The sequence below is a fragment of the Homo sapiens genome, chromosome 14 (assembly GCF_000001405.40).
Source record: "Homo sapiens chromosome 14, GRCh38.p14 Primary Assembly".
Classification (NCBI taxonomy): Eukaryota; Metazoa; Chordata; class Mammalia; order Primates; family Hominidae; genus Homo; species Homo sapiens.
In genome coordinates, this window is record NC_000014.9 from 104,796,121 (window position 1) to 104,820,732 (window position 24,612).

A 24,612-nucleotide genomic window follows, 5' to 3' on the forward strand; every position below is an offset into this window, starting at 1 on the left:
TTTCAGGCTGCCCCACTCTGGGGGGCGTGGAGGGGGCGGCCAAGAGTGACCTAAAAGGCCCAATCCCAAGACCTTGTGCCTCTGGGGGAAGTGCGGGAGGATGCCAGGACAGGAGGTCAGTTGGAGGTGGGCCTCCAAGGAGCAGGAAGGCTCCGAGGGGAGTCAACCATTCACCTAGGTACTGGCAGCTACACTCACAAAAGGGGGACTTTGCTGGGGAGTGGGAGAAGAGGGGCACACCTTGCCTGGCTCCCACCTTGAGCTGGGAGCAGACACCAGACAGAGGAGGAGCGGTGTCTAGGGTGGGCTGTGACAGCTGACAGCCCAGAGCCCTCCCTGCTGGGTGGACTTGGTCAGCCCGGACACCCAGTCCGAAGTCCACTGGGAGGCAGATGGCCCGGGTATGGAATGAGTAAGTGGGACACAGACCCCTTTCTCCTGGACACTCACAGGAGAGTGCAGGTGACTGCCACCCCGACCCCTTCCTAGCCAGAAGTTCCTCCGACAACTGCCCCTCCCCCATTCCAGAGGCCCACAGTTGATAATAACCCTTTTGTGAAAGACAGACTCTTGTGAGTTACCTTCCTGAGGCTGCTAAGTATTGGGGTTGGGGGAGCATTTTTATTTTCAGCCAGAGTGAGTTCAGCTGGCAGCAGGGGAGGGGGTGGGAGGAGATGCAGACAGAGGCAGCAGGTTCGGCCCAGTGCTCAGGACAGAGTCTGCAGCCAAAACTCGGGCTTCATCCCTGCCTCTTGGGGCTGACCAAGAGAAGGACTCTCTCCCCCTGCATGAGGGCACTCGCTCCTCAGACAGGGGACTCCCCATTCCTGCCTCTCGCCTGAGCACCTCTGCTCCCTCCCAGCTCAGACTTTGTAACCCCAGGAAGGGCCCACCTCCAGGGGGCCAAGTCAGAGGCCCAGTGGTCTGCGCCGCTTGGGTGGGATACCTGACACAAGGGTTGCCCCCAGAGCCTGGGCGTCTGGTGTCTGTCTCTCACCCAGCAAACCTGCACCATGAGCCACCTGGGGCTCCCTCTGGGACTGTCCCACCTGCCCACTGCTCCCCGAGGAAGAGTTCCTGGTATCTGTCCACCATCCTGGGCTCTGCCATGCAAGGATGGAGGAAGGAATTCAGGGAGGAAGCAGAGGGTAAGAGGGCCATGAGACAAGGCCAGCAAGTGGCCGAGGCTTGGGGATGTGGGAGGGAGCAGGGCACCCTCTCATGGAAGAGGCAGTGACATTGCGGGCTGTTCTTGAAGTGGTTGGACCTCTTGCTTATTTTGCACTGGCTGTCTCCAAGGAGGCCTCCCAGTCTTCCCAGCCTGGTGCCCTGGCATCTGCTGGTGCCTGCAACCCACTGTGGGCCCCACACTCCAGTCCTGTCTTCACCTTGGCATGAACTGCCCTCCCCCAAGACGGGGATCTCCCAGTGGGCAGGGCCATCTCCCTCTCCTCCAGCGTCCCAGAGGGAAAGCAGAGTCCTCTCTTCAAGAACACCCCCTCCCACCCCAGACAGAATGGTCAGGAGAGAACCCAGCCCCACGGCTGCTGCTGGGACTGCTGAGGTGCTCTGTGGCCAGATGTTTCCGACAAAAACTGCTGCACCAGGGAAGGGCCCGACGGCTGCCTCCTCCCAGAGCTCAGGGGCCTCCTGCCCTGTCACCTTCTGCAGCTGCTGGCCGGGGGCAGGACTCGAGGGCCCTGGGCTGTGTAGGTCCCAGCAGCAGCTGCAGGGCGGGGCCTCAGGGCAGCTCCCAGGCCAGATGGCCGCCTGAGTCTGCAGAGGTTCTGCCTGAACCACCACCGCCGCGACAGTGGCTGTGTGACGGTGTCCTGTCATTCCTGCACTTGAGACCCAGCCAGTCACAGGGGCTCTGAGGACTACAGGCTGGCCAGGATCCCAGCACCAACTCTGGGCGGTCTCTGCCTGGAACAGCCCCCCTTCCCTGATCGGTGTGGGGCAGGAGGGACTTGAACCCAGACATCCCGACCTGAGAGGGATAAGGAGCTTCTCTCCCACTGTCCCCTCCCCTTCATCTAGCCCATTCCTAGCTGGGCCCTCCTTCCAGGTCCTACCCTAGGCTCCTGAAGGCAGCATCCTGACCCTCCCTGTGTACCACAACCCCCATTAAGTGTCCAGGCTCTCTCTGTCCCGCCAGCCAGGCAGGGCAGGCTAGGGTGCTTGCTCCCAGCCTGCAGTGGGGAGCTGTCAGCCTGTTGCCCAGAGCCCCAGTGTGGCAGGCCACCCCTACTTGCTCTGAAGGTTCAGGGGCTGGGGGTGTGGGCAGGCAGGGCTGGAATGTTGCCACAGAGGAGTCAGGATTAGGGATGGTGGGACCATCGTAATCACTCACAGAAGCAACCGTCACACATTCACTCAACAAACATTTACTGAACACCCACTTGCGTCCTGCCAACTTTTAAGCACCAAGTGACCAAACAGCCCCTTCCCTTTCAGAAGGTGCTGGAATATCCCACAATCACAGGACACCCGGAATGGGCTGGAAAGGAGGGTATGCAGCAGAAGGGACTGCGAGGGAACTTAGCGAAGGTGGGCAGGAATGGCCACCCTGACTAAGGAGTGGACTTTCAGCAGAGACAGGGATGAAGAGAAACCAGTGAAGGGTTCTTTGGGGAAGAACATTCCAGAGCCTGAGAGCTTGCTGAGTGCCAGGCCCTGTCGTTAATGTTCACGAAGACCCCGGGATGCACTCTGACTCCCATTTTGCAGATGAGGATTACTGAGGTTCAAAGAGGTTAAAGGTTTGGTCGTGCTCAAGGTTGGGAGGGGCCGGGGCAGGGCTGTGATCCAGGCAGGGCAGGAAGGGAGCAGTCACATCTGAGTTCACCCTTAACTTACTTGAATTCAGCTATTCCTGCTGGTGGCTGGGGCAAGGCAGATGATTATTTAAATGCGTGGAGAGAGGGGAGTTGACCTTCCTCAGGAAGGGGTCCTTAGGGTGGATGGCCGGCGGCAGTGGGAGCCAGGCCTCTGCCGTCCCTAAGCTAGTCTCAGTGGCTGTAAGTGCAGTGTCATTCCAGGGGTCCAAGCTGCAGTTGCCAGGTTTAGGAAATAAAGATGCAGTCCATCCGGTGAAACAAGGAATGATATTTTAGTATAACAACGAGGCCTTCCTTCCCAGACTTCAGATCCCACTGTGGGCTCCACTCCTCCTGCACACACATACCTGGCCGGGTCCTGTCCTTTGTGATCCAGCCCCTCTTCCAGCACCACCCCCACCCCACTGCTTGGCCTTGACTGGGGTGACTCCTCCACTACATTCTCCATTTCCCGGACTCCAAGGCAGAGAAGAATGAGACCGGCTGAATTCAAATCGTGGTTCAGTGACTTACTGCCTGATACATGGCTCTGGGTACCTTACCTAAACTCTCTCACCAAAAAGGTATGAAAATAAGAGCGTCTAGTTAATGGGACTGTTGTGAAGATGATCCGGTGGTCTAGAGTACCTTCAAACCTGCTCAGTCAAGGGCAGCCCAGGTTGTGCCCCTGGGAAAAGGCTCCATCTGCCTGGGAGGGACCCTAACCCCGCCAAACACACTCTCTACTTCTCTGGCGATTCCCTCTCCCACAACCAGGCGTCCCCCTCACATCTTCTCAATGCTTCTTTGCCCTAGAACACTTTCCCCCACTCCTCCCTACCCCCACTCCCATGCCAGCCCCTGTCCGGAGTCTCCTCCTCTTTGAACACGTTCCTGCCTACCCTGGGCTCTGGAGGGCTTCCGACTGTCTCTGTTATGGCGTTTGTCCCCCCGTGCCACCATGTCTGCTGGGAGGTGCCCGTTTTCCGTGCCTCTCTGCGCTGGGTCCCCCATAGACGCTGGGCTGGGGTCTGTGGAGAGGGTGGAAGTCCCCGTTCTGGACTCTAGGATCGACATCCTGCTTGAATGTTTGGAAGAGGGTCCCAGCTGAATTAAATTCAAAAAGAGGCTTTCAAGGAAGAAGGAGGTGTCATCTTTGCAAAATTAACGACCCCCAATCCACGCAACCCCTACGCCATCCCAAGGCCGGCGCCCTGCGAGGTGGCGGGAGGCCAGGGTCCCGGGTTTACCCTCGGGTGACTGCCCAACGCGGGCTGGGATACAAGCGGACCCTCGGAAGGGTTCCTTTTGCAGACTGGCGCAGTAAGGACCCCATGCCGGGAAAGGTTGGGAGGTGGGGGACCCAGGCCAAAGCGCCAAGTATCGCGAGAGACCCCCTGCCCCCGCGCAGTGCCCTAAACCCCCCTCACACCCCAGCGCCCCTGCTGGCTGCGCGCGGGGCCCGGCCGGGTGGGGCGGACAGGGAAGGGGGGGCGAGGGTGACCTCAGCGGTTCCGCCGCTCCGGGAAGTCGCTCGGCCCGCCCCCTCCGGCCCCCGCCCCGAGTTTCGCTCTCTCTGGGGCGGGGCGAGCGGCGGGCGGCGCTGGGCCAGCCAAGTTGGAGCGCGCCCCGCCCGGCGCCCTCGCCGTCCCCGCGCCCTCCCCGCCGGGGCGCGCTGCCCGCAGCTCCACGCGCGCCAGGGCCGCCCTGGGGAGGGCGCGCGCGCGAGCGGCGACCGGAGAGGAGCTCGGGGCGGCGGAGGTGAGCGCTGGGGGTGGGCTCCCGGCTCTGCCCGCCCCGCCCGCCCGCCGGCCCTCTCCCCGCTCCCCGCGGCCGCGCTGCCATAAATGGGGCCGGCGGCGGCGGCATCTGGTGGGCCGGGCGGCAGCTGGAGGCGGCGCGGAGGCGTGGGGCGGGTGGCGGCGCAGCCACCCGGGCGTCGGGGACGCCGCGAGCGGGCGGCCGCCCGGGAGTGAAGTTCAGGAGCGCCCGGGCGGGGACGCGCGCAGGTTTGCGCGGCTCCGGCTCCTGCGCCTGAGTCCCGGGACCCGCCCCCGCGGCGGAGCTGCTACTGTTTACTTTCGATCGAGTTTTTCCTGCTCGGGGCAGGTGCCCGCGGCGGCTCTGGACGGGAGGTTGCGCGCGTCACTCCCGCGCCGCTCTTTCCGCGCTGCCTGCAGCCGGGAAGGGCGCTTCGTGGGCGCCTCCAGGCGCGCTGACGGGCGTCCCGTTTGTGCCCAGGTGATGACGGCGGCGGCATGGAGTTCCCTGAGCACGGCGGACGGCTGCTGGGCCGCCTGAGACAGCAGCGCGAGCTGGGCTTCCTATGCGACTGCACCGTGCTGGTGGGCGACGCGCGCTTCCCGGCCCACCGTGCCGTGCTGGCCGCGTGCAGCGTCTACTTCCATCTCTTCTACAGGGACCGGCCCGCGGGCAGTCGCGACACGGTGCGGCTCAACGGCGACATCGTCACGGCGCCCGCCTTCGGCCGCCTACTGGACTTCATGTACGAGGGCCGCCTGGACCTGCGCAGCCTGCCTGTGGAGGACGTCCTGGCAGCCGCCAGCTACCTGCACATGTATGACATCGTCAAGGTCTGCAAGGGCAGGCTCCAGGAGAAGGATCGAAGTCTGGACCCGGGGAACCCTGCCCCTGGGGCAGAACCTGCTCAGCCACCGTGCCCCTGGCCTGTCTGGACCGCGGACCTCTGCCCAGCTGCCCGAAAGGCCAAGCTCCCCCCGTTTGGGGTCAAGGCTGCCCTCCCTCCTCGAGCATCTGGGCCTCCTCCCTGCCAGGTCCCAGAAGAGTCAGACCAGGCCCTGGACCTGTCGTTGAAGTCTGGCCCAAGGCAGGAGCGGGTCCACCCACCGTGCGTCCTCCAGACACCCCTCTGCAGCCAGAGGCAGCCAGGGGCCCAGCCACTGGTGAAGGACGAACGGGACTCACTGTCCGAACAGGAGGAGAGCAGCAGCTCTAGGAGCCCCCACAGTCCCCCGAAGCCACCTCCTGTTCCTGCAGCCAAGGGCCTGGTGGTGGGCTTGCAGCCGCTGCCCCTCAGCGGAGAGGGCAGCCGGGAGCTGGAGCTTGGTGCAGGGCGACTGGCGAGTGAGGACGAGCTGGGGCCTGGTGGGCCCCTCTGCATCTGCCCGTTGTGCAGCAAGCTGTTTCCCAGCTCCCACGTGCTGCAGCTGCACCTCAGTGCCCACTTCCGTGAGCGAGACAGCACCCGGGCCCGGCTCTCACCCGACGGCGTGGCACCCACCTGCCCGCTCTGTGGGAAGACCTTCTCGTGCACATACACACTGAAGAGGCACGAGCGGACACACTCGGGTGAGAAGCCCTATACGTGTGTGCAGTGTGGCAAAAGTTTTCAGTACTCCCACAACCTGAGCCGGCACACCGTAGTGCACACTCGAGAGAAGCCGCATGCCTGCCGGTGGTGTGAGCGCCGTTTCACGCAGTCCGGGGACCTCTACCGCCACGTCCGCAAGTTTCACTGTGGCCTCGTCAAGTCCCTTCTGGTGTGATGCATCCCTGTGGGTCCTGAGGGTGGGGTGGAAGGGAAGGGATGGGCCCTCCCAGGTGGGACACAGCATGGGGTGTGAAGCCTGACCAGGTGGAGGTCCCTGCTTGGGCCAGATGGCTCCACCCTCCTGGCAGAGAGAATGCTGCCTCTTCCTGGAACTTGGCCTCAGACTCGGTAACTTGGGCAGCCTTCCTCCCACCTTGCCTCTCCTTTCCCCTCACTCTCCAACTCATTCCGGCCCCCAGGCTGTGCCCTGCCTAGGCTGTGACACTATCTTCCTCTCCCGTCCCCTCCAGCCAAGTTCTGAGGGGTGTCCAACCAGCACCTGGCTCTGCCCCCGTTTCTCCGTGTGAGATGGCACATCCATCTCCCGGCCCGGGACTTTCCTGACCACCTCTCTGGCAGGCTTGGGGAGGTCTTCATGAGCCTGGCCCCACGCTAGGTGAATTATTCACATGTCAGAAAAGTTGTTGGTGTGCGTCCCAATGGGGCGCTGGGAGGGAACAGGACACTCCTGGGGAGCGGCAGCAGGAACCCCTGCCAGGAAGGCCTGGGGCACAGTGAGTGCCAGCAGGGGCCATCTGGGCACAGCTGGTGTCTCGGGGTGGGGGGGGGGGTGCAGCCCCAGCAGGGATCCTAAGGCAGCAGGAGTAGAGCCAGCTAGAAGCTGAGTGGCTGTGGCATCATTGTCACTCGGGTGGGACGTGGGTCCATGAGAGCGTGCAATTATGACCACACTGTAACTTTGAGCAGAGAAAGTGGGAATTTGGAACTGGATTCTCTTTAGAGCCAGGAAGAGCCTCCTGAGGCGGCCAGATGTCTGCTGGTGGCCGCCCAGCCACATGCTTGTCTGCCTGAGTGCAGGTCTAGGAAGCCTCTGGGCATCCCCCAGGGTGGGGTCTGGGCCGCTGAGCTGTGTGCTGCTGCTGGGCCACCGTGGGCCTTACCTTGACGGTCACTCTGCCTGCTAGGGGGTTTCCCTGGAGCTGTGGGCATTTCCGTGCACTGACTGAGCAGAGGCAAGGGCTGCCCTGTCCGCCAGGGGCAGGGTTTGCGGGCCTTCCTTTCCCCACGGCGAGGCATGGGTGAAAGTGGCCATGGCGGCAGGGTTAGGGGCAGGTGAGGAGTGGGAGTCGCAGCACCCTAGGGGCCTCCATCCGCAGCCTTGGGAGACTGACGCTCCTCGAACATGAATAGAATGTGGAGACCACAACCCCCACACATGTCGTTGGTTCAGGTCGCCCTGCTTTGCCTGCCTAATGGAGCACATCTTGCTGCCAGAACCTCACTGGCCTCTGGGGGTCGGCAGGTGCAGAGCCACCTGGACGCCTGGAGACCACCTGGGATGTTTCCTCTGTGACTGGGAATGGCCTTGACAACAGAGTCCAGCCAAGTCTACGTTATTTTCTCATCTCCTGACAACACTGGATGTCATATTTATTAGTCAGCCTGGTCTGGAGTGAAAGACCGTCCCTAGCGCATCTCCCACGCGCCCTGGGCTCCTGGTGTGCTGGGTGCCAGCCTGGGAGCCCAGCGCTTCTGGGTGATGCCCCAGGGCTCAGAGGCCCTGGATGGCTTTGGTCTCGAGACAGCTGGGGGAGGGGCCCTGCTTCTGATTGTCCTGGGCCCCAGCCCCCACCTCTGCAAGGGATCGGTGTGATGTGCTCCATAATCGGGTGGGGGGTGTGTGTGTGTGTGTGTGTGTGTGTATGTATGCATGCGTCTGGCACATGGCAAGGCCCAAGCCAACCCGGCACCCCGTAGATGGGCAGCTACACTGCCACCCAAGCACGGAGATGTGGCCGCGGCACTGGGTCCCCCAGTGGGTCCCATGGGGGAAGAACTTCCCTTTGCTGGGGTGGGCAGCCTGCCCTGAGCTATCAACACTGGATTTGTTGTCTTCTGCACAGCTACTGTGAAGATAACGTAAGGAGAAGTGGTCAGTTTTCATTTTATAACTGACACAGTTGGGACAAAATATATACGTGTACATATATTTAAGACACTAATTGTGTGGGAGAGTTTAGTAGAGGCCTGTGCAGACACAAGGCAAACAGCGTCAGCAGCGTGGGGGTCTCCTGGGCCAGCTCGGCACCTGTGGGTGCTCTGACCCTGGGGGTGGGGACAGCTCCGTGCTAACCCCAGCAGACAGTTGTTGGTGCACAGTGTCTAGGAGGCGTGGGAATGGGTGCTGTCTTCCTCTTTTCACATCATGGCGACAGTAATAAAGCCCACCTCCAGTGGAAACGGCAGTGACTATTCCTGAGGACGGGTGGGAACAGGTGTCCCAGATGCCACCACGTGCTCATGCTGGTGGATGGGGGAGGCTGGGACAGGGCTGAGGTGGCACCCCCTCTTTCCCCAGGTTTGTCCCCAACTGCCAGCGTTTGGGGGAGGGGAGTCCAGGGAGGCAGATCTGTCAGGGAGGCGGAGCACACAGGCCAGCTTGGGCAGGGCAGTCCACGGGGGTTTCTTGCCCTGGGGAAGGAGGCTGGACCCTGGAGGAAACCTGTGAACCTGGGGATGCCATGGCCCTCCCCACTACCCTACGCCCTTGGCCTCTTGTTGGTGGGAGAAGGCACAGAAATTTCTAGAGCCCTGTGCAGGCTGGGCTGGGCTCTGGGTTGATGAGGCTGGGGTGGGCAATTCCACGCCTCCTCCTCTGCCCTGCTCCCTCCAGAGGCCTTGCAGGGGGTCATTAGCCCTGAGCCCTCCCTGGCGGGAGCACGGCCTTCCTTTCCAGACCAAATGGGGCAGGGCCTCTACATGTGCTGTAAGCGTCAACACAGTGCCCTCTTGACTTGCGAAGAGCCAGGGTAAGCCCCAGGCCCAGGACAGGGTGGGGATGGTGCTGGCCAGACAGTCCTCAAAGTCAGGCTGAGCTGGTGTGCAAGGGCCTGCCCCTCTTGGGTCAGCTCCTGCCGCCTTCCCAGTCCTGACCCCAAATGCAGGTCCTTCCTTCTGGGAGGTGGTGCTGGCTCCTCCCCTACCCCCTCCCACACCCACCGTGCCTCCTGCTGAGTTTGGACCAGTGCCCTGTCCTGCAGGGAGGCCCTCTCATGTTCCCAGTTGGGCCCATGACTCAGCCCAGGCCTTCTCAACCCAGAGGAGGAGGCTGTTGCTATGCTAACCATGCAGGAAAGGAGGATGGTCTGCTGTCCCCTAGGGCGCATGGGGCTTCCTGGGGCCCCTCCAGCCTGCCCAGCTCTGCCACACTGTGCTCACACTCAGCTGACTGCTAGAGCTGTCGTGGAAGCTTTCAGTCCCACTCCTGGCCAGGGTGGGCCTCCTGGCACCCTCCTTGGAGGCCATCCAGCCGGCTTCCTTGGCTGGATGGTAAACTGAGGCACATGGAAGGGACCAGTACTTGTCCATGGTCCCAGAGCCAGTTGGTGGCAAATCCAGGACTTCCTTCCACAAACTCCAGGAAACCTCAAGCTGTTTACCCACAGTGCTGGGCACAGGGCACCAATGCTGTCAGAGGCACGGTGGCAGGTTGGGGCAGCAAGGACGAGGCCAGAGGGAAGGAGAGGGTCAGACTCTGCGGAGGAGGTATCCCTGGAGGCTCCCCAGGAAGGGTGACCTCTCAGGAGCCTGCGAGTGGACAACACAGACACAGGCACCAGGCAGGGGCTGGCCCCCCACAGAGGCCCGATCATGTCAGCCCAGGTGCGTGGACGCCACCCTGGGGAGGCTGCCTTGCAAGTGGGAAGCAGGTGAGTCGGCAGCCTTGGCCCTTCCCTTCTGCCACCTCCCCAGCTCCTGCCCACTCCCACACACACCTGGTCTTACCTTTCCCAGTGTTCCTGAATGGTGCTGAGTCCTTCCCGGTGTGGGAGGCTCCACTCCACAGACACCCCTGGAGAGCCGGTAACAAACAAACCCGGTGCAGACATGGCTCCAATCCTGGCTGTCCCAGCTCTCAGGGGTGAACTCCAAGCCCACAGAGGCTCTGCCCTGGTTTTCTATGACTTCTTTCATCCCCACCTCAGTCCCATCTTCAATGAACACATCCCACGCTGTCATCATGGTCATCATCACCATCACCGCCCCCTCCATGGAACCACAACTGTCACCTCCACCATTACCTTTACCTCCGCCATCAGTATCATCTCCACCACCATCACCTCCACTATCACATCACCTCCACCACCATCACCTCCACCCCCACCATCACCTCCACCTCTACCACCATCACCTCCACCATCATCTCCACCTCCACCATCATCACCTCCACCTCCAGCACCATTGCTTCCACTTCCATCACCATTACCTCCACCATCATCACCTTCATCTCTACCTCCATCTTCACCATCACCATCACCTCCACCTTCACCACCACCACCACCTTTATGGAAGATCCCTAAAGAAACTGAGCCAACTCTAGGTCGGCTTCCAGGCTGAGGAAGTAGGGCTTGATTATGTTCAAGCTGAGAAGTGGTTGGAGAAAGGGGTAATATCTGCCCTCCTCACTCAGTGGAGCTTCAGTATCTGCACTTCCCTTTTCTGTAGCCTTCAAGTTCCAGGATTTTTATTTTTATTTTTTGAGACATGGTCTTGTGTCGCCCAGGCTGGTCTTGAACTCCTGGACTCAAGTGACCCTCCCCACTCAGCCTCCTGAGTAGCTAGGATTCTAGGCATGAGCCATGGAACCTGCTAGTTCCAGGGTATTTTCTGTTTCCCTGCACCTCCTCCCTCTCGCCACTACCCTTCCATATACAGAAGAAGAAAAGTCTGCATCTCTGTGAAAGTAGGTCTGTACCTCTCTGCACGCACACCCACTGGCACCTCTGAACACACAGCACAGAAGGAAGGCCGCCCCTGCAAGTCCCAGGAATTCGGAATTCCATGGCACACAGGGCCACCGGTGCCTGTCCCGTCAGCCACCTGTCCTGTGCTCATAACCATGTCACTCCCTTTCTTCAGCCTCAGCATTCTCGCCTGTGAAATGGGAATGGCAGACAACCGTTGATGGGTGAATAGGGTAACATCCACACTAAGTGTTGGCAGTGTTGCTGCTGACAAATGTAACACCTGCCTGCCTCCCTCTGGGGCCATTGCCAGGTCAGAAGGGAACCAAGGGTGAGGAGCCTTTGACAACAAGGCCGTACAGAGCACCCCCAGACTCCCCAGGATAACAAGGCCGTACAGAGCACCCCCAGACTCCCCAGGATAACAAGGCCGTACAGAGCACCCCCAGACTCCCCAGGATAACAAGGCCGTACAGAGCACCCCCAGACTCCCCAGGATAACAAGGCCGTACAGAGCACCCCCAGACTCCCCAGGATAACAAGGCCGTACAGAGCACCCCCAGACTCCCCAGGATAACAAGGCCGTACAGAGCACCCCCAGACTCCCCAGGATAACAAGGCCGTACAGAGCACCCCCAGACTCCCCAGGATAACAAGGCCGTACAGAGCACCCCCAGACTCCCCAGGATAACAAGGCCGTACAGAGCACCCCCAGACTCCCCAGGATAACAAGGCCGTACAGAGCACCCCCAGACTCCCCAGGATAACAAGGCCGTACAGAGCACCCCCAGACTCCCCAGGATAACAAGGCCGTACAGAGCACCCCCAGACTCCCCAGGATAACAAGGCCGTACACAGCACCCCCAGACTCCCCAGGATAACAAGGCCGTACAGAGCACCCCCAGACTCCCCAGGATAACAAGGCCGTACAGAGCACCCCCAGACTCCCCAGGATAACAAGGCCGTACAGAGCACCCCCAGACTCCCCAGGATAACAAGGCCGTACAGAGCACCCCCAGACTCCCCAGGATAACAAGGCCGTACAGAGCACCCCCAGACTCCCCAGGATAACAAGGCCGTACAGAGCACCCCCAGACTCCCCAGGATAACAAGGCCGTACAGAGCACCCCCAGACTCCCCAGGATAACAAGGCCGTACACAGCACCCCCAGACTCCCCAGGATAACAAGGCCGTACACAGCACCCCCAGACTCCCCAGGATAACAAGGCCGTACAGAGCACCCCCAGCCTCCCTGGGGCGCCAGGTGTGCTTGGGCATTGCTGGTCTGTGGACCTTTGCAATCCGGCCCTGGCCTGGCTCTGTTCCCCTGCTCTGGGCAGCCTCTTGCTCCCCTCCCCCTCCCACTTTCCCTCAACACCCCTTCACCTCCAGCTGTTGTGGAGGATGGTGGGGTACACCACAGCAGTGAGGAGTCCAGGGACAGCAGCCTGGAGGGCTAGGCCACTCCCAACACGGGCTGGCAGCAGCAGAAGATGCTGCCTCTGGAGCCTGTGCCAGAGCCTGTGGCTGAGGCGGAGAGGGTGGCCGTTCAGAAAGGTCCCAGGCCACGGAGGACTGTCCCCTGCCAGGCAGGAATGATTGAGCACCAAGGCTGCTGCTGGCCCAGCTATAGCCCTGGTATCGGAGGTGGCAGTGGATCTGGGGGAGAGCCAGGGACTCACCTCCCTCTGTGGAACCCTCCTGGTTTTGTTTTCACTAATTTTAGCAGAAGTCTGAGTCTGAAGTCAAGACATCCCTTTCTTTCTTTCTTTTTTTTTTTTTTTTTTTTTGAGACGGAGTCTCATTCTGTTACCCAGGCTGGAGTGCAGTGGCGCCATCTCGGCTCACTGCAAGCTCCACCTCCCAGGTTCACGCCATTCTCCTGCCTCAGCCTCCCGAGTAGCTGGGACTACAGGTGCCTGCCACCACAGCTGGCTAATTTTCTGTATTTTTAGTAGGGATGGAGTTTCACTGTGTTAACCAGGATGGTCTCAATCTCCTGACCTCGTGATCTGCCCTCCTCGGCCTCCCAAAGTGCTGGGATTACAGGCGTGAGCCACCGCGCCCAGCCCAAGACATCCCTTTCTTTGCTTTCTGAAGCAGACGCTGGGGTATGTTTTTTGTTTCTTTATTGGCTGTAGTAGTTGGCTCTGGCTGTCATAATAAGGTACCACAGACAGAGACAGGGTGGCTTGAACAACAGACACTTATTGTCTCACAGGTTTCAAGGTATCTGCAGCGTTGCTTCTTCCTGAGTCCTATCTCCTCAGCTTGTAAAGGGCGGTCTTCTCTCTGCAGCCTCACGTGGTCTTCCCTGTGTGTGTGTCCTAATCTCCTCTTCTTCTTCTTTTTTTTTTTTTTTTTTGAGACGGAGTTTCGCTCTTGTTGTCCAGGCTGGAGTGCAATGGTGCGATCTTGGCTCATCGCAACCTCCATCTCCCAGGTTCGAGCGATTCTCCTGCCTCAGCCTCCCAAGTAGCTGAGATTACGGCACCCACTACCATGCCCAGCTAATTTTGTATTTTCAGTAGAGACGGGGTTTCACCATGTTGGTCAGGCTGGTCTCGAACTTCCGGCCTCAGGTGATCCACCCGCCTCGGCCTCCCAGAGTGTTGGGATGACAGGCGTGAGCCACGGTGCCTGGCCCTAATCTCCTCTTCTTATAAGGACACAAGTCCTATGGGATTAAGGCCTACCCTAATGACCTCATTTTACCTTCATCACCTCTTTAAAGGCTCTATCTCCAAATACAGGCACATTCTGAGGGACTGGTAGTTAGGACCTCAATGTACGAATTTGGCTGGGGACAAAATTCAGTCCAGAACCCTGAATGTTTCAGAAGAACATGGAGGCCCAAGGACGCTGGGCTGGAGCCAGAGGCCCAGATCCCATCCTGGCTCTGCCAGTTCTGGGCAAGCCACTGCAGTTTTCTCATCAGTAAAATTTGTTGATGTTTCCATTTTTGTCCCACAATATTCCAGGTACACCCACGGACACTTGGGTACAGTCAGGGGGTACAGCCTCACCCACAAAGAAAACCCAGGTAACTCCATTGCCTAGGCCCTCCCAGTAGCGCCCTTCCCTGGCTGTCACCCCACCCCTGCATCCCCAGAGCAGACCGGGGTGTGGGACAGTCCAGGTCCCCTTTGTGCTTGTTCTCCTGGACACTCAGCTGCCCCCGCTGCTGTCCCATGCACTGCTCCCCTGCAGAAGTCCGCCTGCACCACCAACAGGTCGGGAAGGAAGGTGGGGGCATCCCTGACCCCTTCCCGCTTACCCAGGCCCAGCTCTCCAGAGGCTCACACCCTCCTCCTCTCTGCGGGGCTCTCGACCCACCCCTGTCTCCCCCATATTTTCTCAAGGCTGCAGCTTTGGGCACCCCATCTCCTTCATCTCCCATCCCACGCGAGCCCCCCACTCCTGGGTCTGTGGCCTTTCCCAGGTCATCTCCAGAGGCCGCGGCTCCCCTGGAATGTGAGCTTCAGGCATCCTCACTCATGACACAAGCTGCTATTTTCCTGTTTACCTAATCAAGCAGGTAATTTCTCTATACAGTAATTCCTTCATTTCGTGGTTTTCCAATTCTTGACCTTGCCACCTTCACGAGTCTGTCTCCTGCCCTCTCCTGCCTGCCTCTCGACTCAGTGCCTTGGCCGTCGTTAGATTGACCCCAAGCCCCTGCCTCGAGCCCTCCCCTCCTTTTCTATCAAACTACTTCCCAAGACCCAACCTGGATGAACCCACACATTCCCTTCACTGCACAGGTCACAGAAAAGGAAGGGCAAGCATCTCCACACCATCTATAATAAATATAATTTAAACAAGTAAACTCGCCCCACAGGGAGCAATGGTGGAGCAGCCTGGGTGGACTGATCCCCCATGGATAACAAAGATAGATTCTGAACAAAAATAGACATGTTAAAAAAACTCCTGGAAGGCACTGGAGAGCGGGTGGAGACAGGCGGAAGCTGGAGAGGAGGCTTCCCTTGAAAACAAACTGCGGCGGGTGAGGTCTCTGTTTGTGGCAGCAGATCTGATAGACTTTGCACAAAGGAAGTTACACAAATGGCTAATAAACACCTGAAAAAGTGCTCAACATCATCAGTCACAGGGAAATGCGACTCAAAACCCACCGAGGGGCTGGGCGTGGTGGCTCACACCTGTAATCCCGCACTTCAGGAGGCCGAGGTGGACAGACCACCTGTGATCAGGAGTTTGAGACCAGCCCGACCAACACCGTCTCTACTAAAAATACAAAAATTAGTCGGGCGTGGTGGCGTGCACCTGTAATCCCAGCTACTCGGGAGGCTGAGGCAGAAGAATCGCTTGAACCTGGGAGGTGGAGGTTGCAGTGAGCTGGGATCATGCCACAGCACTCCAGCCTGAATGACAGAGCGAGACAGTGTCTTGAAAACAACAAAAACACAAAACAAAACACACCAAGGCCAATCATGGTGGCTCATGCCTATAATCCCAACACTTTGGGAGGCCCAGGTGGGAGGACTGCTTGAGCCCAGGAGTTCAAGACCAGCCTGGCCAACATAGTGAGACCCTGTCTCCACAAAAAGTAAAAAATTAGCTGGGTGTGGTGGTGCATACCGATGGTCCCAGCTACTCGGGAGGCTGAAGTGGGAAGACTGCTTGAGCCTGGGGGATCAAGGATACAGCGAGCCATGATTGTGCCACTGCACTCCAGCCTGGGTAACAGAGAGAGACCTTGTCACAAAACAAAAGACAAACAAAAAAGTCCCACAACAAGATACCACTACACGCCAGCTCTGAAGACTGACAACACCAAGCACTGTTAACGTGTTAACACGCACCTGCCACTTGACCTGAAGATTCTACCCCCAGGTGTCATCCAGAAAAGAAGTGAAAGGTGTAACCACAAAGGATGTGTCCTCTGATGCTCATAGGAGCTTTCTCCAACCCCTGTGCCCACCCACAGGAGAACAGATAGACCAACTGCAGAATATTCGCACAACAGGATCTTATGCGTGGATGAAAGAGAGGAGCTGGCGGTGCACCCGATGTTGATGAAGCTCCCTGAGCTGATGGAGAGAAGCCTGCTGCAAGATTGCCCACTGGTGAGTCCTCGCAGAGGCAGAACTCATCCACGGCAGAAAAAGAGGGGACCAGCAGCTGCCTCAGGGCAAGATCATGAGCAGGGACTGGGAGGGAGGGACACAAAGGAACTTCTAGGGTGATGGATACGCTTAGATTTTTATTGGGGGGGGGGGTGCGGCTACACAGGTGCAGCCATTTTCAGAATTTACAGTTAAGATTCATGCATTTTGGCCAGGCGTGGCCATGCCTGTAATCCCAGCACTTTGGGAGGCCGAGGTGAGCAGATCACCTGAGGTCAGGGGTTTGAGATCAGGCTGGCCAAAATGGCGAAACCCCGCCTCTACTGAAAATACAAAAATTAGCTGGGCATGTGCCTATAATCCCACCTACTCGGGAGGTTGAGGCAGGAGAATCGCCTGAACCTGGGAGGTGGAGGTTGCAGTGAGCCGAGATCGTGCCGCTGCACTCCAGCCTGGGTGACACAGTGACGCTCCATCTCAAAAAAAAAGAAAAAAGAGGCCGGGCACAGTGGCTCACACCTGTAACTCCAGCACTTTGAGAGGCCGAGGCGGGAGGATCACGAGGTCAGGAGTACAAGACCAGCCTGACCAAGAAGGTGAAACTCCATCTCTACTAAAAATACAAAAATTAGTAGGCTGGACGCGGTGGTTCATGCCTGTAATCCCCGCACTTTGAGAGGCTGAAGTGGGCGCATCACGAGGTCAGGAGATCGAGACCATCCTGGTTAACATGGTGAAACCCCGTCTCTACTAAAAATACAAAAAAATTAGCCAGGCGTGGTGGTGGGCGCCTGTAGTCCCAGCTACTTAGGAGGCTGAGGCAGGAGAATGGCGTGAACCCGGGAGGTGGAGCTTGCAGTGAGCTGAGATCGCGCCACTGCACTCCAGCCTGGGCGACAGAGCGAGACTCCGTCTCAAAAAAAAAAAAAAAAAAAAAAAAAAAACAAACAACAAAAAACTTTCCTTAATAAAATGTTCATAAGAAAAAATATAGATACCATTCGGTATCAGACTGGCAAAGATAAACACTTTGTGTCTTAGTTCATGGTGCTGTTACAAAATACCAGACTGGGTGGCTTAAACAACAGAAATGTGTCTCCCAGTTCGGAAGGATGGCATGTCCAAGATAGGGGTGCCAGCAGCTTTGGTGTCTGGTGGGGACAGCCCTCTTGTTGTGCCCTCACATTGCAAAGAGAGCAAGCTCCAGTCTCCTCCTTTTCCCGTAAGAACATCAGTGCCTCCACCCTCATGACCTCACCTGAACCCAACGACCTCCCAAAGGTCCCGTCTCCAAATATCATCGCATTGGATAGTAAGATTTCCTGTGAATTTTGGGGGGACGTGAACATGCAGTCCATAACTTTGAAACATACATTACTGGGGGAGCTATGGGACAACAGCACCCTCTACTACATTACTGGTAAGGTATAAATGGGCACACACCTAATTCAGATGGCAATTTGATCACTGCTGTCCACATTATAATTACATAAGTGTTTTGACCCAGCAGTTCTGGAAATTCTATCCCATAAACTTGCACATAAGCAATACGATCTCGGTATAAGGGTATTTGTTGGAGTATTGTTCAGTACAGCAAAGCACTGGAAAAGGCTCAATGTCCATGGGCAGGGGGCCAGCTAATAAATCATGGTCCATCCATTGAGCAGAATACTATAGTCACAAAAACGAAGGCACTCTTTTGCAGCCTTTGGGAGGTCATTAGGTTTAGACGGGGTCCTGAGTATAAAAGAGTGTGAAGAATAGGGAGTAGGATTGTACCCTGTCCTCCCGTGGTGTAAAGAGAAGGGAAACTGGATGCACATGAGCACAGTATGCGTTTTCACATGTACGAAATACTTCTGGACAGATCAAAAGAGGTTTGGTTGCCTGTGGGGAGGGAACTCGGTGGCTGGAAAACGAGAGAGGGTAACTTTTAAACTTTTGAACCATGTTACCAATCACTAATTATCAATTCAATGGATTAGCTTAAAATAAAATTCAAAATTGCTTCCTTGATCCCTTACCTCCTTCCACTTTTCTGCCCTTTCCGGTCAGCGTTCTCACATGACTGGCCACTTCAGTGTACTTTCTCTTTCCTTTTTTCCTAAGTATTGTTTTAATCTTTATCCTTTGTCATTAAAAAAATAGACATTGAGACTCCCTGTGGCCTGTGTTCCCTGCCTACCCTGTACCTCCATCCCCACTCCATTTCCCTGCCTTCAAGGAACCACTATTAGTTTCTTGTGTATTCTCCAGTGTTTCTTTTCGCAACTATAAGCAAATATTTTCCCCCATTACCACCCAAAAAGCAGCATACCATGTATGTTGTTCTGCACCTTGCTTTTTTCACTTAAAAATAGATTGTAGGCCAGGTGCGATGGCTCACACCTGTAATCCCAGCACTTTGGGAGGCCAAGGCAGGCAGATCACCTGAGGTCAGGAGTTCGAGACCAGACTGGCCAACATGGCAAAATCCCGTCTCTACTAAAAAATAGAAAAATTAGCCGGGCATGGTGGCAGCGCCTGTAGTCCCAGCTACTCGGGAGGCGGAGGCAGGATAATCGCTTGCAGCTGGGAGGTGGAGGTTGCAGTGAGCCGAGATCACGCCGTTGGACTCCAGCCTGGGCAACAGAGTGAGACTCCGTCAAAAAAAAAAAAAAAAAAAGGAGATTGTAGACATCTTTCCATATCATATAGGAACTTTTTTTTTTTTTTCTTGAGGTGGAGTCACTCTGTCGCCCAGGCTGGAGTGCAGTGGCACCGTATCGGCTCACTGCAACCTCGTTTCATGGGTTCAGGCAATTCTCTTGCCTCAGCCTCCTGAGTAGCTGGGATTACAGGCGCCCAACACCACACCGGCTAATTTTTATATTTTTAGTAGAGACGGGGTTTCACCATGTTGGCCAGGCTGGTCTCGAACTCCTGACCTCAGGTGATCCACCCGCCTCGGCCTCCCAAAGTGCTGGAATTACAGGCGTGAGCCACCGCGCCCTGCCAAGCAACGTCACTTATTACCCCTGCTGACTTGGGAGCAAATGTCACATATAAATTCCCCCACGTGCGGAGGTGTTTCCCTTTCCTTGCTGTGTCTGCATTCGACAGCAGCCACGCTAAGCGGCTGGACCAAATGGAGCATCATAACGTGTTATTTTATTTTATGATTTTATTTTATGTTTTTTGAGACAGAGTCTCGCTCCTCCCGTCCACCTGCCGGCGCTCCTGGGGCTTCGGGCCACGGCTGTCTCCTCCGGGAGCGGCGGCGCTGTAGGAAGCCTGGTCCTCTCCCTCAGCGGTCACAGCCATCGCTCGCGTACGCCCCCGGACTGACGCCTCCCGCCGGGAGCCCTCTTCGAATCCCGCCTGCGCAACTCCCACGCCACAGCCCTGGGCCATCCCTGCTCCCGCGCAGCCCCGGCCGCCTGCCTCCTACCTCGCCTCCCCAAGGCCCCAGCGCGCCGGGGCTTCCCTGTCCCGGGCGCCTGCTCGTGGCGGCGGGCGGGCTCCTTGTCCGGCTCTTAAGGGCCGGCGCCGGCTCCTGGGCCTCCCCTCCTTCCCATCGCGGCCTGCTCCTCCCACCCGCCTTCTCCGAGCTGATGCCAAGGCCGGACGGACGCGACAAAGGCCTGCTGCCGAACGTGACCTGTCCGCAGAGTAGACAGACGGGCCCCCTGACCGCCAGACTGAGGAGACCCGGCGGGCGGGAGCGGATGGGCGCGCCTGCGCACCCCCTCCCGGCGCTCGCCAGTCACGTGGGGCCGCGAGTGGCGCCGCTGCCGGAAGCGCCCCCCAAGGAAACGCAAGCAGTGGCGGAGCGGGGTTCCGCCTGGGCCGGGCTCTAGCGCCGGCGCTGCGCGGGAGTCATCGCGTGCCGACTTCCGTGTTGTCGCTCTCCCCTCCCAAAAGCGCGGCCGCGAGGACGGGCGCTGCCAGCGATTTCCTCGCCTTTGTGTCGCGGGGCTGTCCGCTGCGCGTTACTTGGTGCGATACGCGCATTCGGCGGTGATCCCGAGCCCCACGCGAACCTCCCTGTGTCCTTGCTAGTGCCTGGCGCCGTCACTGACGCTGAGGCGTGAACACGGAGTCGGCCCAGAGGGGCTGTTCTCCCGGACGCCGAGGCCACCCCACGCGGCCGCAGGGCCGGGCAGAGGGGAACTGCAGGGAGGCGCGGGCCGCATCCCTCCCGGAGGTCTGCGAGCTTCTTGAGGCCTCACGCCCCCTTTTGAGCCCCGCTGCTGCCCTGTGGCGCTGCTTCTCCATCCCTGCGGGTGACCATCGACGCGTTCCCCTTGCTCGCTTCTTGGTTACGGGCCAGGGGATACTCCTGCCCGACCCTCGGCATTGCCCAAGGGAGTTTGCACTTCCCACTGTGCTCTGCCAAGCCTCTGTGGAGAGGAGCCCTCCACCTGCCTGACCGGGCCCAGCTTTGGGGAAGACCTTCTTGGTTTTGTCTGCTGGCTGGACTGACCCTGGCCCTCAGCCCAGGTGAGGCGACCAGCGGCATGATGCCCGGGTGGAACACGGATTTCTCTCCAGGGTGGCCGAAGAATGGTTTAGAAGCAGCAGTGGGATGAGGGAGAATCCCGACCCCGTCTCAAAAGGTGAAGATACGTCAGGTCTGGGGGAAAAATATCCCTACTCTAGAGGGCTAAGAGAGCTTGGTTTGGTGCAAATCTGAGAATCCCTCAACACTTTAATTTCTTTAATCCTGCTAACAGTTAACAACTTCCTACAGGCTGACACCTCAGGAATAAGCTCCTTCACCTGCGTTCCCTCTGTTTCCTCTATTCTTTCCTCCAATCCTTAATTTTTTTTTTTTTAGATGGAGTCTCACTCTTGCCCAGGCTGGAGTGCAGTGGCATGATCCCGGCTCACTGCAACCTCCACCTCTCGGGTTCAAGCAATTCTGCATCAGCCTCTCGAGTAGCTGGGATTACAGGCGCCTGCCACCACACCCGGCTAATTTTTGTAATTTTAGTAGAGACAGGGTTTCACCATGTTGGCCAGGCTGGTCTTGAACTACTAACCTCAAGTGATTCACCCACCTCAGCCTCCCAAAGTGCTGGGATCAGAGGCTTTTTTTTTCCTTTTGAGATGGAGTTTCACTCTGTTGCCCAGGCTGGAGTGCAGTGGCGTGATCTCGGCTCACTGCAATCTCCGCCTCCTGGGTTCCAGTGATTCTCATGTCTCAGCTTCCCAAGTACAAGTAGTACTTCCCAAGTAACTACAAGTGCCACTTGTATTTTTAGTAGAGATGGAATTCTGCCATGTTGGTCAAACTGGTCTGGAACTCCTGGCCTCAAGTGATCCGCCCACCCTGGCCTCCCAAAGGGGATTACAGGCATGAGCTACCACACCAGCCTCCTCCAATCCTTTCTAAAAAGCAAGTTTAACCATGTCACTCATTTGCTTAAAATCTAGGCCAGGTGTGGTGGCTCACATGTATAATCCCAGCACTTTGGGAGGCTGAGGCAGGAGGATTGCTTGAGCTCAGGAGTTGGAGACCAGCCAGGGTGGGCAACATTGTGAGCCCCCATCTCTAAAAAATAAATAAATAAAAACTTTGTTAACTATAGGATGGATGGATACGTAGATGGATAATGTATCAGAAGCACTTTTGGCTTCACAGCAGAAACTCCAAGTGTGGTGATTTGAACCAATAGGGATTTATTTTTCTCCCATAACAGGAATCCTGGAGGTAGATGTGACTGGCATTACTTCAGCAGCCCAGTGCTGTAAGGGCCAGCAATTGCAGGGACAGGCTTTGCAATTCTGTGACTTTCCCTCATGGTCACAAAAGGATTGCCACAGCTCCAGACATCACACCATGTTCTGGCTGTAAGAATGGGGAAATGATAGTTACAGAGATGTTTATCTCTTTATTATGAAAGCAAAATTCTCAGAGGCTCCCCAGTAGGCTTCTATGTACATCGTACATGGCTGAGCAGTGCCATGATCTGTCAGTCTGTCGCCTGCATGCTGGAGAAGGAAGACAGCCATGGTGTCATTAGTCTGAGTCCAAGGCCCGAGGGCAGGAGAAGATGGCCATCCCAGCTCAAACAGAAGCAAATTCTTCTTCCACCTTTTTGTCCTTTTCAGGCCCTCAGATTGGACAGTGCTCACCCACACTGGTGTGGGTGGGTCTTCTGTACGCAGTTTACTATACTAATTCAAGTGCCAACTTCTTCCAGAAACGCCCTCACAGACACACCCAGAAATCACATTTACCAGCTATCTGGGCACCCCCTTGCCCAGTCAAGTTGACATAAAATTAACCATCCACCATGTGACAACTGAGGCAGAGCTCGAAGTGCTGCAGCTTCAAGCTGAGGAAAGCAGGACTGTGACCCCACACCAGATGCTGCTAGGAGAGCAGCGAGGGAGGGGCCTCCTCTCAGCCTTCAGAGGAAGCGCAGCCCTGTGGCACCTTGCCATCCGGCCTCCAGAGCTGTGTGAATGCATTTCTGCCATTTGTAGCATGCAATTTGTGGTCCTTTGTTACGGCAGTGGAACCCCAGCGCAGCCCCCGACCACAGTGTCTGGGCAAGTGGGAGGGAGGGGGTAGACAAGCAACCAGATCCCACAGTTGGGTTTTGCTTAGTGATTCCAAAGAGAGACCCAACCAAGGGCCCAGGCTTCTACCCCTGGGCTTTCAAGGAAGTGACAGAAGCTACACAGCTTGGCCAGGCGCGGTGGCTCACGCCTATAATCCCAGCACTTTGGGAGGCCAAGGCAGATGTTTGAGACCAGCCTGGCCAACGTGGTGAAACCCCATCTCAGCCAAACATGCAAAAATCAGCCGGGTGTGGTGGCACATGCCTGTGATCCCAGCTACTCAGGAGGCTGAGGCAGGAGAATCACTTGAACCAGAGGCAGAGGTTACAGTGAGCCAAGATTGCACCCCTGTATTCCAGCCCAGGTGACTGAGCGAGAGTCCTATAAGCTACACAGCTCTGGCAGCCTCATGTCATACCCTCTCCTGTCCTACCTACAAGAGGGGAGGGAATTCAGAGCACATATCCTGATAGGCAAAATGCAGTGATTCCCACCCCTGTCACCCCTGAAGCAGCGAGGGTGTGCATTTGAAATGCTTGCAGGTGAGGACTCTGGCATCTCACCCCCCAGCTGGGAGCCAGCCAAGCTACATTCCCTGCAGACAGTCCTGCTGTCTCCCTGGGAGCAGAGCGATCCTTGGGGCTGGGCTTATTGTCCCCGAAGGTGGGCTGTCCAGATGAACGTGGAGACGATGCCCACCACCTTGGGTATTTCCGAATGTGGGAGCCCATGAGAGCAGCAGGCACCAAACTAGTAAGGAGGCAGGCAGGGTGGCAGGCCTGGGGCGAGAACGCCCTGGGTGGGGCCTGCAGAAACTGGAGCTCTCTCCTTCGAACTCATTTAGAGGTGCAGGCAGGGGTCAGGGAGTAGACCAGGGGCCGAGGTGCCCGGAGGCCAGCCATGTAGGGCCGTGAGGCTGGTGAGGTTTGAGAGTCAGGGACCCTGACCTTCACGCCCTTTCTCAGGGCCCTGGGAGGGACCCCAGAAATGTACTTGCAGAGTCATGTGACATAATTTACATACCTTAAATAAATACACATATCTCTACATTTCTCTCCATACCATCTGTCCATCTATCTACAGTCTGCCAGGGCTGCCAAAACAAAATACTACAGCCTGGGCAGCTTAAACAATGGATTTTTTTCTTTTTTTGAGGCAAGGTCTTACTCTGTTGCCCAGGCTGGAATGCAGGGGTGCGATCTCGGCTCACTGCAACCTCTGTCTCCTGGGTTCAAGTGATTCTCCCACCTCACCCTCCCCAGTAGCTGGGACTACAGGTGCCCACCACCATGCTCGGCTAGTTTTTGTATTTTTGGTAGAGACCCAAAATACAAAAATACAAATTTTTTTCACTATGTTGGCCAGGCTGGTCTTGAACTCCTGACCTCAAGTGATCCACCTGCCTCGGCCTCCCAAAGTGCTGGGATTACAGGCGTGAGCCACCATGGCCGGCCGACAATGGAACTTTATTTCTCACAGTTCTGGCGGCCGGAAGTCTGAAAAGGGGTGTCAGCAGGCTTGGGTTCTCCAGAGGCCCCCTCCTTGGCTTGTAGACGCTGCCTTCTCCCTGTGTCTTCACGTTGTCTTCCCTGTGTGTGTCCTGATCTCTTATGAGGGTATCCGTCAGATGGGATTAGGGACCTCACACTCTAGTGACCTTATTTAAAGACTCCATCTCGAAATACAGTCACATTTTGAGGGATAGGGGTTAGGACTTCAACATATGAGTTGGTGGGGGCAGGGACACAATTTAGCCAAAAGTAAACAAAGAAAACATATTTCTATATTAAAATATACATTGTGTGTGTGTGTGTGTGTGTGTGTGTGTGTGTGTATCCTTGTACCTTAAAGAGGAGCTTAAAGAATGTGCCTGTTGG

At 57.2% G+C, this 24,612-nt stretch overlaps 1 protein-coding gene across 2 annotated transcripts, besides 12 other annotated features; it reads left to right on the top strand.

The window, feature by feature from the left end:
* Nucleotides 777-1,549: an enhancer, noted in NCBI's record as "H3K4me1 hESC enhancer chr14:105263234-105264006 (GRCh37/hg19 assembly coordinates)". NCBI's record gives its function as "activates a minimal SCP1, AML or CMV promoter by ChIP-STARR-seq in naive H9 embryonic stem cells {active_cell/tissue: H9 hESC(naive)}" and the evidence as "EXISTENCE:reporter gene assay evidence [ECO:0000049][PMID:30033119]".
* Nucleotides 1,550-2,322: an enhancer, noted in NCBI's record as "H3K4me1 hESC enhancer chr14:105264007-105264779 (GRCh37/hg19 assembly coordinates)". NCBI's record gives its function as "activates a minimal SCP1, AML or CMV promoter by ChIP-STARR-seq in naive H9 embryonic stem cells {active_cell/tissue: H9 hESC(naive)}" and the evidence as "EXISTENCE:reporter gene assay evidence [ECO:0000049][PMID:30033119]".
* Nucleotides 4,173-4,612: a silencer, noted in NCBI's record as "silent region_6200". NCBI's record gives its function as "represses an Ori minimal core promoter by ATAC-STARR-seq in GM12878 lymphoblastoid cells {active_cell/tissue: GM12878}" and the evidence as "EXISTENCE:reporter gene assay evidence [ECO:0000049][PMID:35858748]".
* On the top strand, nt 4,434-8,592 carry ZBTB42 (zinc finger and BTB domain containing 42). Of its 2 annotated transcripts, NM_001370342.1 has the most exons (2): nt 4,434-4,580; nt 5,061-8,592. In NM_001370342.1, exon 2 carries the CDS (start codon nt 5,078-5,080, stop codon nt 6,344-6,346), a length of 1,269 nt encoding a protein of 422 aa, NP_001357271.1. In that variant the 5' UTR covers nt 4,434-4,580; nt 5,061-5,077; the 3' UTR covers nt 6,347-8,592. The 2 variants fall into 2 exon arrangements, with proteins under 2 accessions (NP_001357271.1, NP_001131073.1); NM_001137601.3 differs by lacking the exon at nt 4,434-4,580 and having other exon boundaries at nt 4,981-8,592.
* Nucleotides 4,643-4,752: a silencer, noted in NCBI's record as "silent region_6201". NCBI's record gives its function as "represses an Ori minimal core promoter by ATAC-STARR-seq in GM12878 lymphoblastoid cells {active_cell/tissue: GM12878}" and the evidence as "EXISTENCE:reporter gene assay evidence [ECO:0000049][PMID:35858748]".
* Nucleotides 4,813-4,962: a silencer, noted in NCBI's record as "silent region_6202". NCBI's record gives its function as "represses an Ori minimal core promoter by ATAC-STARR-seq in GM12878 lymphoblastoid cells {active_cell/tissue: GM12878}" and the evidence as "EXISTENCE:reporter gene assay evidence [ECO:0000049][PMID:35858748]".
* Nucleotides 8,006-8,505: an enhancer, noted in NCBI's record as "H3K4me1 hESC enhancer chr14:105270463-105270962 (GRCh37/hg19 assembly coordinates)". NCBI's record gives its function as "activates a minimal SCP1, AML or CMV promoter by ChIP-STARR-seq in primed H9 embryonic stem cells {active_cell/tissue: H9 hESC(primed)}" and the evidence as "EXISTENCE:reporter gene assay evidence [ECO:0000049][PMID:30033119]".
* Nucleotides 8,678-9,427: an enhancer, noted in NCBI's record as "H3K4me1 hESC enhancer chr14:105271135-105271884 (GRCh37/hg19 assembly coordinates)". NCBI's record gives its function as "activates a minimal SCP1, AML or CMV promoter by ChIP-STARR-seq in primed H9 embryonic stem cells {active_cell/tissue: H9 hESC(primed)}" and the evidence as "EXISTENCE:reporter gene assay evidence [ECO:0000049][PMID:30033119]".
* Nucleotides 19,092-19,386: an enhancer, noted in NCBI's record as "tiled region #3976; HepG2 Activating non-DNase unmatched - State 1:Tss". NCBI's record gives its function as "activates a minimal TATA promoter and a strong SV40 promoter by Sharpr-MPRA in HepG2 cells {active_cell/tissue: HepG2}" and the evidence as "EXISTENCE:reporter gene assay evidence [ECO:0000049][PMID:27701403]".
* Nucleotides 19,092-20,108: a biological region, named in NCBI's record as "Sharpr-MPRA regulatory region 3976".
* Nucleotides 19,119-20,108: an enhancer, noted in NCBI's record as "H3K27ac-H3K4me1 hESC enhancer chr14:105281576-105282565 (GRCh37/hg19 assembly coordinates)". NCBI's record gives its function as "activates a minimal SCP1, AML or CMV promoter by ChIP-STARR-seq in primed H9 embryonic stem cells {active_cell/tissue: H9 hESC(primed)}" and the evidence as "EXISTENCE:reporter gene assay evidence [ECO:0000049][PMID:30033119]".
* Nucleotides 19,620-20,049: a silencer, noted in NCBI's record as "silent region_6203". NCBI's record gives its function as "represses an Ori minimal core promoter by ATAC-STARR-seq in GM12878 lymphoblastoid cells {active_cell/tissue: GM12878}" and the evidence as "EXISTENCE:reporter gene assay evidence [ECO:0000049][PMID:35858748]".
* Nucleotides 20,150-20,269: an enhancer, noted in NCBI's record as "active region_9124". NCBI's record gives its function as "activates an Ori minimal core promoter by ATAC-STARR-seq in GM12878 lymphoblastoid cells {active_cell/tissue: GM12878}" and the evidence as "EXISTENCE:reporter gene assay evidence [ECO:0000049][PMID:35858748]".

Excerpts from the sequence above, each read along its gene's own strand:
- ZBTB42 (NM_001370342.1), top strand. The coding sequence starts at position 5,078 with ATGGAGTTCCCTGAGCACGGCGGACGGCTGCTGGGCCGCCTGAGACAG.